Genomic DNA, 15979 nt, shown 5'->3' on the forward strand with positions numbered 1-15979 from the left:
GTCTTTGCAAATATTAAATCACACATCATCTGCAAGGCTTTTAAAAATTAGATTAACACAATCCACTTTGAGATCATTCCACCATGAACTATATCTTCTCAAAAACTTTTTAACAATCTTTATAAAAACTTTAGGTAAAGCCAACAGCACATTGGAAGGATAATGGTTTTACACTGCATTATACTAACTCAGAACATTATGATCAATACTTGTGCCTGTTTTTTTGTGGGGTTTTTTGTTTGTTTGTTTGTTTTGACAGAGTCTTGCTCTGTCACCAGGCTGGAGTGCAGTTGCAGATCTCGGCTCACTGCAACCTCCGCCTCCTGGGTTCAAGTGATTCTCCTACCTCAGCCTCCTGAGTAGCTGGAATTACAGGCACACACCACCACGCCCAGCTAATTTTTGTATTTTTAGTAGAGACGGGGTTTCACCATGTTGGCCAGGATGGTCTCGATCTCTTGACCTCATGATCCGCCCGCCTCAGCCTCCCAAAGTGCTGGGATTACAGGCGTGAGCCACCATGCCCGGCTGTGCCTGTTTTTGTTTTTTTTTTTCGAAGACATGACCATTTGTATTACAGAATCTGTCAATTATAGAAGAAATTATAATCATAATCCAATCAAAATTTAGCACTTTTTTAATATTGAAGGAAAGTCAGTGATGACAAACATCCATAATAAGCCTTGGAATAATATGCATCTATGTTTAATGATTCCATAATCCTACAAACTATTGTTGGTGCACAGATATTAAATGTGATAGAGCAAAACAGTGGCTGATACTTGGATTTTTACCCTTCTATGTTTAGATAATACTGTGAAAACAACACACAAGCATTATTCATTGTTTAAAGTTAACTTTTTTTTTTTTTTAAAGAGTCAAGATCTTGCTCTGTCACCCAGGGTGGAGAACAGTGGTGCAATAACAGCTCACTGCAGCCTCTAACTTGTGGGCTCGAGTGATCCTCCCATCTCAGTTTCCCAAGTAGTTGAGACTGCAGGCACATGCTATGATGCTCAACTTTTATTTTGTTTTAATTTCCTTTACTTCTCAATTTTTACTTTTTAGAGCCAAGAGGAGATCTGTTCTGTTCACCCAGGCTGGTCTCAAACTCCTGGCCTCAAGCAATTCTGCCTGCCTCCACCTCCCAAGTAACTGGGCCTCCAGGTACCAGCCACCACACCCAGCTTAAAAGTTCAACTTTTTATATGACATTTTCCAAGCCTACTAAATCACAAGTTAGAGATATTCCCAATGATTTTCCTAAGCAAAACCTATATTTCAGCAGTATACAATTGCAATGCTGTTGAAGCATTATTTGTGAAGGATTTCCTTGATTAACAAAAAATATGGAATAAGCATTACAGCATAGCATGACTATATAATCAAAAAATCAAAGACAGGAAAATTCAGAAAGAACATGTAATGTACATTTCTCTGATACTATTTTGGCATAACTGCTTTCAAAGCACAATAGCAAGAGTAAGCAGACTCTTGATATCTGAAATGGATATAATTAAAGACTTCTGAGCCTACAAAGTACAAATGCCACTACATATATCCACTTCAGAAAAATAAGTGGGTACCCAGTGAAAAGAAGAAAACCACCAAGCCACATTAAAAGTGTTGGGCAGTTCTATGTGCACTCACTAGCTATTCAAAATTTTGCCTGAAAAATTATGAACTGCTGCATCATGGACTTTGCAGCTGGTTAATAGTCAAAACCATGAACATTAAACTCTTGACTGTCAAGGTCCTGCAATAAATGTCTGAGAAAAGAATGAACAAAGAAATAAATTTTTAAAATCTTCTAGGCATAGTATCAGCATGGGATTTGTCATGTTAAAAACAGCATTTCTCTAGAATATTTCCTAGAGAAAAGAAAACTTCACATAAAGAACTGTACACCTATTCATAATCACCAAAAACTGGAAACAACAACAAATGTCCTTCAATCAGTGAATCAATAAACAAACTGCAGGCTACTCATACAATGGTATTCAATCAAACACAAAGTAACAAACTATTAGTACACCCCAAAACTTGAATAAATCTCAAAGGTATTATTTTGAGTACAAGAAGACAGCCTCAAAAGGTCACCTACTTTGTAATTCCATTTATGTGTCATTCTCAAAAAGACAAAACTACAATGATGGAGAAAAGATCAGTGGCTGTCAGGACTAGCAGAAGCGGGTAGGCATCACCGTGAAGGGATAATGAGGGAATCTGGAGGAGTGATGGAATTGTTCTGTATCATGACTGTAATGGTGCTTACATAAATCTGTATATGTATTAAAATTTACAGACCTGTATATGAAAAAGGACAATTTTACTATATAATTAAAATAAATAGCATTTCAGTGAAATCAACTACTTGTACTTACTCATTCTGAGAAGTGTTACAATATTGTATACAGCCAATTATTTAAAAATTTGTTTAATAGTACTTGCTAATGGTGATAACAAAAGTCAACCAATCAAGTGACTTAAAAATATTTAAATCTCTACTAACTTTTTATTTAAAAAAAAAAAAAAACTTACCAAGTTCATTGAGACTCTGAGCAGCTTTTGTTATCTCTCTACTTCCCCCTTGCAGTTGTCCTTGGAGTCTCTTACTGAGATTCAAGATACGAATAATCCTCCGAAGCAAATCACAGGCAACCTGTGCAAACATCACAATGTTAAGTTAGTTGATCCATGAAGTTTTATTACTATTAATAAATAGTAATAACAAGCACAGTGGGTTGATAGGTGCAGCAAACCACCATGGCACATGTTTACCTATGTAACAAACCTGCACATGTATCCCGGAACTTAAATTACAAAAAAAACACAGTGGCTCACATTGTGCTTAATATGTGAATCTACCCATTCTTTCCAGATGCTAAAGATTCACTCATGCTTTTTTTGTTTCCCACCAACCACAAACCTAAATAATCGCAAGTCTTAAAAAGCATCAAATGTCCTAGGGAACACACGGAAGTACTATATTTACATTTTACAATAAACTCCAATTCATCCCAAGTGGAGAGAACTTGGAATTGAGGCACTGTGAGACCCAAGGATTCTTTCAGTCCTAAACCAGCTTTCTTCTCTAGGCCAGTGGTTCTCAGTCTTGATTACAAATTCAAGTGGGTAGACTGAAAATGTTCCAATGCCCAGGCCACAGCCCTGACCAATTAAAACAGCATTTCTATGGGTTAGAACCAAGCATGAGTTATGTTTTCATGTTTTTAATATTCCCAGGTGGTACCAATGTGCAGCCAAAATTGACAATCACTATGCTAGGTTGCTCAGCTTCCTACTACTGCCTCCTGTTATTTTCAGTCCCAGCTTCTCTTTCCTATATCCTGCAGGAGTAGTCTTAAAACTTCTCTCAATTTCATTATTTTCCTAATCTTTTTTTTTTTTTTGAGAACAGGGTCTCGCTCAGTTGCCCAAACTGGAGTGCAGTGGCATGATCACACCTCACTGCAACCTCTACCTCCTGGGCTCAAGCGATCCTTCTGCCTCAGCCTCCCAAGTAGCTGGGACTACAGGCGTGTGCCACCATGCCTGGCTAATTGTATTTTTTGTGGAGATGAGGTTTTGCCATGTTGCCCAGGCTGCTCTCAAACTACTGGGCTCAGGTGAACCTCCCACATCAGACTCCCAAAGTGCTAGGATTACAGGTGTGAGCCACCATGCGTGGTGATTTTTAATCACTAATAAATTATAAAAGAGAAAGCACATAAACAACAAAACTATTTCACACACTTCCTATTCCTTTTCCCAGATCTAATACTAGGTCTTTAGCTATCAAAAGGCTGAGATAAGAAATAAAGGTTCATGTATTTTAGGACACTTTATTACAGAAGCTGGATTCACAGCAGTTGCATGAGGGAGAGTGTGGTAGAGGGTGACATACTGAATAACCAACATGTAGTGATCTTCAGCCTCAGTAGTGATTACAAAGGAAAGAGAGACATTCCATACTGCTGCATCACAACCATTTTTGAATGGCCCCAAGGCTAACTGAGAAGCAAGGACATCTCCCCTGTTTAAGGAGAAAAATTCTACATGGTGGCAATAAGAATTAAAAGCTCTGAGAAGCCAGGGTCCCTGAACCTCCAGGTATAAACATTCTTTTATGGGTGAAATAAATACATACACCAGAGCCACACACAGCCACACCCATGCACTCACAAGCAATACACCGTATGTATGCATACACCATACTCAAACATAAAACAAACATATATTTACAAACACATGTAAGTCAAAGCCAATCAAGTATTAAACATGTTTACCTGACTGCTTTTCAGAGAAACTAATCTGAAATACTTAAATAAAAAAAAAAAAAAAGGAATGCCAAAGGAAAATTTTTCCCATGGAAATTGACAATTGGGGCATCTTTATCTTTTAATTAAATATTATCCGTTTTCTGAATAGATAATACAAGCACATGATTCAAAATTCAAGAAATAAAAAGAAATAACATTGAAAAGTCACCCTCGTATCTCTGTCCCAACTATGCACTTAACAAAAACAATCACTGTTATTGTTGCAGGTAGTTAGACAGTCAAGAGTGGGGCAGGAGAGGGCTACTGCCCCACCCACTAGGAACGTCGGTTGATGATTTGGAAGTTATCACATTGCCTCTCTAAAACTGATAAATTGGCAGCCAGTGCCAGGGAGAGGACATTTCCTGATGGTCCACGCCTGGTGCATTAAAGTGTTAATTGAATGCAAATGCCAGGGAGAAGCAACTTCCAGGGCATGTGCTTTAAGACACAAAATGGTGGAGTATGACCTTCCGGGGGCACTCCACCTGAAAAAGGAAGAAAGCCTCAGGTGGGCATGCATAGAAATTCCTAAACACACTGCCTGTGCTCACCTCTTAAGGGTAAGGAGGGCACTGGACATGTGGGCAGCCCACCCTAAGGGAAGAATCTTGGGAAAGGAGCCAGGCTATAAAGTCCTCGGATCAAGGTTAAACACTGCACCTGACCTCAGTGCCCACGTGGGACTCTTCCAAGCGTACTTTCCTTTCTTTCTTTCCTGTTCTAAAGCCTTTTTAAATAAACTTCCACTCCTGCTCTGAAATGTACCTTGGTCTCTTTTTCTGCCTTATGCCCCTCAGTCGAATTCTTTCTTCTGAGGAGGCAAGAATTGAGGTTGCTGCAGACCTGTACGGATTCGACACCAGTAACTTGGATATCTTGCACTGGAAACATTATCAGCACCTTCCCTGTTAGAACTGACATTTTTAGATAAACAATTTGGAACGTAAAATCTCATTCCTCTGAGATTTTAAATACATCGTAAGAAGAAATTAAGCTCTTACTCTAAGACTGTCATCCAGAATTCCCTAATCCTACCCAACAAAGGGTATGCTCTCAAAACATGCAATCTTTATTTCTACTGTTTTTATTTTTAGCAACCATACTTAATCTGTCACCAAGTCTTACCAACTATCCTACTGCATAAAACAAAAGTTGTTATTTTACCTCTATTCCTACAAGCATCACCCTAATCCACATCTTTATCACCATTACCTTTACATAGTGGTTTCTCGGCTAGCTTTCAAGTCTCTCATTGAAATCCACCCAGCCAGATTTATCTTCTTAAAAATGCAGTTTTTGGGCCGGACGCAGTGGCTTATGCCTGTAATCCCATCACTTTGGGAGGCCAAGGCGGGCGGATCACCTTAGGTCGAGAGTTCGAGACCAGCCTGACCAACATGGAGAAACCCCATTTCTACTAAAAATACAAAATTAGCTGGGTGTGGTGGCATATGCCTGTAATCCCAACTACTTGGGAGGCTGAGGCAGAAGAATCGCTTGAACCCGGGAGGCGGAGGTTGCGATGAGCCGAGATTGTGATATTGCACTCCAGCCTGGGCAACAAGAGCGAAACTCCATCTCAAAAAAAAAAAAAAAAAAAAAAAAACACAGTTTTCAGCACTCCAACCCCCTTTTTAGTAAACTTTAATGGCTCTCTACTTACAGATTATGTTGAATCTTCTGGGAATACCATTTAATAAAATCCTTAGTTAATAAGTCTAAGCTATTATAAGTTGATCTATAAGGCATCAGTTCTCACCATTTCCCAATATAGCTGCCTCCCCTCCAATCAATTTCCTTTCCCTCCCTGTTTTTTTATCTTAGACTTTTACTATTAAATATAACACAAGCATGGAAAACCACACTCAGAGATACACAGCTAAAGGAACTTAGAAGCAACACACAGATCAGGAGACAGGATCATGTGAGCCACCACAGAAGCCCTCATTTACTCCCTCCCAATGCCATTACCCTTCATGCCAACCAAGAGAAACCACTACTCTTTTACATTAATCACTTCCTTACTTTTTTTTTTTATTACTGAAGTACAAATACCTAAGTGCTATGGTTTAATTTTTCTTGTTTTTAATCTGTTCTCTCACCTTCTCTTTTTTTCATTGCAATTTGTTGAATATATTGGATCATCTGTCCTAAAGTTTCCCACAGACTGGGTTTTGTTGACTGTATTCCCTTGATGCAGTTTAACAAGTTCCTCTATCTTCTATATTACCTGTAAATTAGTAGTTGGATGCGGGCAGCTTCATCAGATTTAAGTTTAGTATTTTTGGCAAGATTAAACATTAGAGGGTGGTATATTTTAAGAGATGTATGATTTTCTCTCTTTTTGTGTTGAGTATCAGCCACTGATATTCAATGTCAAAATCCACTGAAACATAAGTGACTGCAAAATAGTAATAATCCAATTCTGTCATTTTGTATTTATAAGCATATGAAATTTCTCTATAAAAATAAACTTTACCTCATTGACTATTTGTTTACCTAGGAGTATTGTTCATACTGAAAACTAAAAATAAATACTTAATCTTTCCCTTATTAGTTTTCAAAATGAAGAAATAATTTCCTAATATTCACCAATAATGAAAAATTAGTCGGTGAGGGCGGGGGGGAGGTGGGTGTTCTGGGGTTTTGCTTTTTTTTTTTTTTGATATCATTATGAAATTGATTTAAACATAATAAGGGATGCCCAACCCATCATGGCTCTTATCCTTATTGATGCTCAAAGTGTTCCATTTCGGCCAGCAGAAGCCTCTGAGAGTGATTAACTGTACCACTTTGCCTGAGACTGAGAAGTTTCCCAAGTTTTAGGACTTTCAGTAGTAAAACTAAAATAGCTGGTCACCCAAAGCCTATTCAAGTCAGTTCCTGAGTTCCTTTGTCATGAACCGAGCAGTCGTTGATAGCCTCCTTGGTATCTGGTATAAAAATGTTCCAGGATCATTTTATACATTTCATGCCCCAGACCTGGAATCAAAGATTTCTCAAAGAAGCCCTGGTTTCTTTTAGTAGAAAACAGCATTACTTTTTTTCTTTTTTTGAGACGGTTTCGCTTTTGTCGCCCAGGCTAGAGTACAATGGCACAACCTTGGCTTACTGCAACCTCCCCCTCCAGGGTTCAAGCGATTCTCCTGCCTCAGCCACCTGAGTAGCTGGGATTACATGTGTCTGCCACCATGCCTGACTAATTTTAGTATTTTTAGTAGAGATGGGGTTTCACCATGTTGGCCAGGCTGATCTCGAACTCCTGACCTCATGTGATCCACCTGCCTTGGCCTCCCAAAGTGCTGGGATTATAGGAATGGACCACTGCACCCAGGCAGAAAACAGCATTTCAAGACCACATTCACAGAACTAGGTTTGTTCATTTCTGGGACTTTTCCATAGACATAGCAAGGAAATGCCAGCATTAAAATATCACATAAATATTCATTTGATTTATGCCACAATACACATAAAACATTCTCAGATTAACATACATATACATATGCACAAATATATATATACACACAAATATAAGGTATATACTATTTTTAAATGACATTAAAGAATCTCAAGTTCATACTGATACTTCTAATTAAAAATCAGAAGTAGAGGATTTAGCCTTCTTACATCTATATAAATATAAACAGTATATAATTTCTTCCACATTAAGATTCCTAGCTCTCAAGGACACAGGAGATAACAAAATTAGAATAATGTATAATTATTCATTTGCTCTGCTGCACAATACACAGAAAATACCTGAGCAACAAAACAAACACTACAGTCAAAAGTATGATGGCAGAAAATAGTTTTTAAAATTTTTTGCATATGCTCTTCCCACTGTTTTTTACAGCTGAATTATATTTCTTTGCCAAAACATATAGTCATTACACACTATTCTTTATAACTTTCATTTAATACTAGTTCTCATGCTTAACACTAGTCTCACGGTGATTTTTTTCTAGTCAGTCTTTGCTGTTCTGCAGCCTCCACTGGTGATACTCAAGGACACAGGGTCTGGAGTGGACCCGCAGCAAACTCCAGCAGACCTGCAGCAGAGGGGCCTGACTGTTAGAAGAAAAACTAATAAACTGAAAGCAATAGCATCAACACCAACATCATGCAAAAACTCCATCCAAAGGTCACCAACAGCAAAGACCAAAAGGTAGATAAATCCACGAAGATGAGGAAAAACCAGCACAAAAAGGCTGAAAATGCCAAAAACCAGAATACCTCTTCTCCTCCAAAGGATCACAACGCCTCACCAGCAAGGGAACAAAAGTGGATGGGGAATCAGTTTGACAAATTGACAGAAGGAGACTTCAGAAGGCGGGTAATAACAAACTCCTCCAAGCTACAGGAGCATGTTCTAACCCAATGCAAGGAAGCTAAGAGCTTTGAAAAAAAGGTTAGAGGAATTGCTAACTAGAATAACCAGTTTAAAGAACATAAATGACCTGATTGAGCTGAAAAACAGCAGGAGAACTTCGTGAAGCATACACAAGTATCAATAGCCGAATAGATCAAGTGGAAGAAAGGATATCAGAGACTGACGATCAACTTAATGAAATAAAGCATGAAGAAAAGATCAGAGAAAAAAGAATGAAAAAGAACAAACAAAGCCTCCAAGAAATACAGGACTATGTGAAAAGACCAAACCTACATTTGATTGCTGTACCCGAAAGCGATGGGGAGAATGGAACCAAGTTGGAAAACACACTTCAAGATATTATCCAGGAGAACTTCCCTAACCTAGCAAGACAGGCCAACATTCAAATTCAGGAAATACAGAGAAGACCACTAAGATACTCCTCAAGAAGAACAACCCCAAGACAGATAATCATCAGATTCACCAAGGTTGAAATGAAAGAAAAAATGTTAAGAGCAGCCCAAGAGAAAGGTCAGGTTACCCACAAAGGGAAGCCCATCAGACTAACAGCAGATCTCTCTGTAGAAACCCTACAAGCCAGAAGAGAGTAGCAGCCAATACTTAACATTCTTAAAGAAAAGAATTTTCAACCCAGAATTTCATATCCAGCCAAACTAAGCATCATAAGCAAAGTAGAAATAAAATCCTTTACAGACAAGCAGATGCTGAGAGATTTTATCACCACCAGGCTTGCCTTACAAGAGCTCCTGAAGGAAGCACTAAATATCAAAAGGAAAAACTGGTACCAGCCACTGCAAAAACAAACCAAAAGTTAAAGACCATCAACACTATGAAGAATCTGCATCAACTAATGAGCAAAATAACAAGCTAGCATCATAATGACAGGATAAAATTCACACATAACAATATTAATCCTAAATTTAAATGGGTTAAATGCTCCAATTAAAAGGCACAGACTGGCAAATTGGATAGAGTTAAGACCCATTCATGTGATGAATTCAGGAGATCCATCTCATGTGTAAAGACACATATAGGCTGAAAATAAAGGGATGGGTGAATATTTACCAAGCAAATGGAAAGCAAAAAAAAAAAAAGTGGGGGTTGCAATCCTAGTCTCTGACTGTTTAGACTTTAAACCAACAAAGATCAAAAAAGACAAAGAAGCCCATTACATAATGGTAAAGGGATCAATGCAACAAGAAGAGCTAACTATCCTAAATATATATGCACGCAATACAGGACCACCCAGATTCATAACCAAGTTCTTAGAGATCTACAAAGAGATTTAGACTCCCAGACAGTAACAGTGGGAGACATTAACACCCCAATGTCAATATTAGTCAGATCAACGAAACAGAAAATTAACAAGGATATTCAGGACTTGAACTCAGCTCTGGACCAAGCAGACCTAATAGACATCTACAGAACTCTCCACCCCAAATCAACAGAATATACATTCTTCTCAGTACCACACAGCACTTATTCTAAAATTGGCCACATAATTGGAAGTAAAACACCCCTCAGGAAATGTAAAAGAATGGAAATCATAACCAACAGTCTCTCAGACCACAGTGCAACCAAACTAAAACTCAGGATTAAGAAATTCTCTCAAAACCGCACAACTATATAGAAACTGAACAACCTGATCCTGAATGACTACTGGGCAAATAACAAAATTAAGGCAGAAATAAATCAGTTCTTTGAAACCAATGAGAACAAAGACACAACATACCAGAATCTCTGGGACACAGCTAAATCAGTGTTTAGAGGGAAATTTATAGCACTAAATGCCCACAGGAGAAAGTGGGAAAGATCTAAAATTGACACCCTAACATCACAATTAAAAGAACTAGAGAAGCAAGAGCAAACAAATGCAAAATCTAGCAGAAGACAAGAAATAACTAAGAGCAGAACTGAAGGAGATAGAGACATGAAAAACCCTTCAAAAAAAATCAATGAATCCAGGAGCTAGTTTTTTGAAAAGACTAACAAAATAAACCACTAGCCAGACTAACACAGAAGAAAAGAGAAGAATCAAATAGACACAATCAAAAATGATAAAGGGGATATCACCACTGATCCCACAGAAATACAAACTACCATCACAGAATACCATAAACACCTCTATGCAAATAAACCAGAAAATCCAGAAGAAATGGATACATTCCTGGACATATACACCCTCCCAAGACTAAACCAGATAGAAGTTGAATCCCTGAATAGACCAATAACAAGTTCTGAAATTGAAGCACTAATAGCCTACTAACCAAAAATAGCCCAGGACCAGACAGATCAACAGCTGAATTCTACTAGAGGTGTTGCAAAGAGGAGCTGGTACCATTCCTTCTAAAACTATTCTAAACAATAGAAAAAGAGAGACTCCTCCCTAACTCATTTTATGAGGTCAGCATCACTCTGATACCAAAATCTGGCAGAGACACAACATAAAAAATTTCAGGCCAATATCCCTGATGAACATCAATGTGAAAATCCTCAATAAAATACTGGCAAACTGAATCCAGCAGCACATTAAAAAGCCTATCCACCATGATCAACTCGGCTTAATCCCTGGGATGCAAGGCTGGTTCAACATATGCAAATCAATAAACATAATCCATCACATAAACAGAACCAATGACAAAAACCACATGATTATCTCAACAGATGCAGAAAAGGCCACAAAATTCAACAGCCCTTCATGCTAAAAACACTCAATAAACTAGGTATTGATGGAACATATCTCAAAATAATGAGAGCTATTTATGGTAAACCCATAGCATTCCCTTTGAAAACTGGCACAAGTCAAGGATGCCCCTTCTCACCACTCCTATTCAACATATTATTGGAAGTTCTGGCCAGGGCAATCAGGCAAGAGAAAGAAATAAAGGGTATTCAAATAGGAAGAGAGGAAATCAAATTATTTCCGTTTGCAGATGACATGATTGTATATATAGAAAACTCCATCGTCTCAGCCCAAAAACTCCTTAAGCTGATAAGCAACTTCAGTGAAGTCTCAGGATACAAAATCAATGTGCAAAAATCACAAGCATTCCTATACACCAATAATAGAGAGCCAAATCATGAGCAATCTCCCATTCACAATTTCTACAAAGAGAATAAAATACCTAGGAATACAACTTACAAGAGATGTGAAGGACCTCTTCAAGGAGAACTACAAACCACTCCTCAAGAAAATAAGATAGGACACGAACAAATGGAAAAACATTCCATGCTCATGGATAGGAAGAATCAATATCATGAAAATGGCCATTCTGCCCAAAATAATTTATAGATTCAATACTATTCCCATCAAGCTACCATTGACATTCTTCACAGAATTAGAAAAAACTACTTTAAATTTCATATGGAACCAAAAAAGAGCCCATATAGCCAAGGCAATCCTAAGCAAAAAGAACAAAGCTAGAGGCATCACACTGCCTGACTTCAAACTATACTGCAAGGCTACAGTAACCAAAACAGCATGGTACTGATACCAAAACAGATACATAGACCAATGGAATAGAAATATAGATCAATGGAACAGGCCTCAGAAATAACACCACATATCTACAACCATCTGATCTTTGACAAACCAGACAAAAACAAGCAATGGGGAAAGGATTCCCTATTTAATAAATGGTGCTGGGAAAACTGGCTAGCTGTATGCAGAAAACTGAAACTGGAGCCCTTCCTTATACACTTTACACTGTTGGTGGGAGTGTAAATTAGTTCAGCCATTGTGAGGCTATTTCTCAAGAATCTAGAACAAGAAATACCATTTGACCAGCAATCCCATTACAGGGTATATACCCAAAGGATTATAAATCATTCTATACCCAAAGGATTATAAATCATTCTACTATAAAGATACACACACACGTATGTTTACTGCAACACTGTTCACAATGGCAAAGACTTGGAACCAACCCAGATGTCCATCAACGTTAGACTGGATAAAGAAAATGTGGCACATATACACCACGGAATACTATGCAGCCATAAAAAAGAATGAGCTCATGTCCTTTGCAGGGACAAAGATGAAGCTGGAAACCATCATTCTCAGCAAACTAACACAGGAAGAGAAAACCAAACGCTGCATATTCTCACTCATCAGTGGGAGCTGAACAATGAATACATGGACACAGGGAGGGGAATATCACACACCAGGGCCTGTCAGGGGGTGGGGCCAAGGGGGAGGGATAGCATTAGAAGAAATATCTAATGTAGATAATGGGTTGATGGGTGCAGCAAACCACCATGGCACATGTATACCTATGTAACAAACCTGCACATTCTGCAAATGTATCCCAGAACTTAAAGTATAATTTAAAAAAAAAAGAAAGAAAAAAAAAAGAGCAAAGGATTATTTGAATAGACATGTCTCCAAGGAAGATACATAAATGGCCAAAAGGCACCACAGAAGATGCTCAATATCATTAGCCATTAGGAAAATGCAAATCAAAATGACAATGAGATACTACTTCATACCCAATAATGATACAGGAGATAGAAATTATTTAGGCAGACAATAAGGGCAACAGAGTCCTTGGCAGAATTTCCCTTTTAACAAAAAGCAGCTCCCAAATCATTTCTTTTCTGACAAAGAGCAGCCTGAAAAATCGAGCTACAGACATAGATAAGCAAGCTGGAAATTGAACAGGTGAATGCCAGCAGCTGTGTCAATAGAAAAGGGCTACCTGGAAGCCAGGTATGTTCAACATGGAGGCTCCATCTTTGCTTTTCTTTGTAACCACATGTACAGTAAAGAAGCAGGCAACACAGCACCAGCCAGCCAGAGAATTCATCTGCATAATAAAAGATTAGGGCAGGGCGGCCAGCTTTTTCACATGCTATGCAAGTGGCACACCTAGCCCTAACTAGTTTTTTGCACCTTAGGCAAATAGCACACCTGGTCTGACCAATCTTTCATGCCCTATGTAAATTAGACACTGCCTCCTCAAGCTCATCTATAAAACTCAACTGCATTTCACAATAAAAGCAGCAACCCAGTTCTCCAGGACCCCTCTCTGCAGCAGAGAGAGCTCTTCTCTTTCTTTCGCCTATTAAACTTCCACTCTGAACATCACTATTTGTGTGTCTGCGTCCTAGTTTTGTGTGGCTGTAAGACAACAAAACTCAGCTATTTACTCAAGACAACGATGCCACTTCAATAAGATGGCAGTATTAAAAAAAAGTACAGAAATTAGAATCTTCATACATTGTTGGTAATAATGGAAAACAGTCCAGTTGCCTTGGAAATAGTTTGGCATTCCTCAAAATGTTAAACATAGAGTTAGCATATGACCTAGCATAATATGCTCTCAGGTATATACCCAAGAATTGAAAAAAAAAAAAGCACACACAAATATTATTTATGCAACGTTTGTTCTTAGCAGTCTACTCAAAATAGTTAAAAAGTAGAAACAACCTAAATATTCATCAACTGATGAAAGGATAAACAAATTGAATGGATAAACAAAATGTGATATATTCATAAAATGATATATTATTTGACCATATAAGTAAAGAAGTACCTAAGTCCTCATTAAACATCATCAACTGGTTCTTTTGACTTTAAGTGAAAACAATGGACCAGGCGGCTCACTCCTGTAATCCCAGCACTTTGGGAGGCTGAGGAAGATGGATCACTTGAGTCCAGAAGTTTGAGACAAGCCTGGGCAACATAGTGAGAGACACTGTCTAAAAAAAATTAAAATTTAAAAAAAAATTAGCTGGGCATGGTGGTGCGTGCCTGTTGTCTCAGCTACTCAAGAGGCTGCACTCCAGCCTGGATGACAGAGCAAGACCCTGTCTCAAAAAACAACAACAACAAAGCAACGTATAATGAAACCCAGTTTTTTCCTCCTCAGTGTTATAATGAAATGACATGTTATTCAAGGACCTGCTGTATGTTCTTTTACTTAAAGTTGCAGTTTCCAAGAACCTATCAATGACATTAAATAAGAACTTACTGTACTGACATATGCTACAATATGGATGAACCTTGAAAACATTACATTAAGAAGGCAAATACTACATAATGAATGATCAATTTCCATGAAATGTCCTGAATAGGGAAATCCAAAAAGGAAGACTGCAGATTAGTGCAGATTAGTTGAGAGCTTGGCGTAGAGAAGTGGATAGAGGGAGTAACTGCTAATGGGCATAGAGTTTCTTTTTTGGGTAATGAAAATATTCTGGCATTAGATAATATTATAGTATAATTAGATATTGTATTCACAAGATGCAATCTTGTGAATATAGTAAAAACCCCTAAACTGTACATGTTAAAGTGATTATTTTATGGTATGTAACTTATAACTCAATTTTTAATAATGAGTGTGACTTCTAACAATGATGGAATAGGGTCAGACTTACTTTTCCATTTTAAACAACTAGAAAATTGAACAAAATACACGAAATAATTTTAGAACAACAGGAATGAATAATTGGACAATAATTGGATAACAGAAAACACAGGTCTGTGATCTTTGAGAGAAACAAGAAAATGAGCTTAACAATTGTCTCAGATTACCACTGGGAGACAATTTTCAGGCCACAGCAAAGGGAAGGCAAGGGAAACAGAGCATGACAGTCTCTCTGAAGTTGGGAAGTAGAGATTACATTTCAAGAAAGCCAAAAAAGCTAGTGTTTATGGGCAGAGAATTGGAGAAAAGCTGCAAAAACAGAGGTTGTGCAGATAAGCAGAAAAATAGCTTCCAGTCTTCTGAGTACCAATCTGTGCATGTGTGAGAGGAAGCACAGGAAAAGAAACACTGAAACAACAGTAGAAAGACCTAATAGTAAACAGGGCTAAACTAGCCCTAGGCTAAAGGCTGTTCTGGACCTGTACTAACAAAGATTTAAAACTAAATCTCAAAAAGATTAATGGTGGCTCATGCCTGCAATCCCAGCATTTTGGGAGGCCAGGTAGGAGTATCACTTGAGGCCAGGAGTTTGAAATCAGCCTAGGCAACATGGTGAGACTCCCATCTCTACAATAAAAAAAAAAAAAAAATTAGCTGGGCATGGTAGTGTGTGCCTTTAGTCCCAGCTACTTGGGAGGCTGGGGCAGGAGGATTGCTTGAGCCCAGCACTTAGAGGTTACAGTGGGTCAAGACTGCCCCACTATACTCCAGCCCAAGTGACAGGGCAAGGCCCTGTCTCAAAAAATAAATAAATAAATAAAAATTAAAATTAAATAAAAAAAAAAAGATCAAACTGATTCCAAGTAACTTAAGTGTGAACCAGAAAAAAGTCCAAC

General features: G+C 38.1%; 1 protein-coding gene across 10 annotated transcripts in view; it reads right to left on the reverse strand.

The window, feature by feature from the left end:
* Positions 1-15979, reverse strand: part of COG5 (component of oligomeric golgi complex 5) — a 362549-nt gene that overhangs the window by 323324 nt on the left and 23246 nt on the right. For 9 of the 10 annotated variants that reach the window (NM_001379515.1, NM_001379511.1, NM_001379512.1 and 6 more), the window contains exon 6: positions 2542-2662. The exons of the other annotated variant lie outside the window; for it this stretch is intronic. In NM_001379515.1, the coding sequence (NP_001366444.1) occupies positions 2542-2662 (121 nt within the window). The remainder of the gene's footprint in view (positions 1-2541; positions 2663-15979) is intronic. 10 annotated transcript variants of the gene reach the window in all.

The sequence above is a fragment of the Homo sapiens genome, chromosome 7 (genome assembly GCF_000001405.40).
Source record: "Homo sapiens chromosome 7, GRCh38.p14 Primary Assembly".
Lineage (NCBI taxonomy): Eukaryota > Metazoa > Chordata > Mammalia > Primates > Hominidae > Homo > Homo sapiens.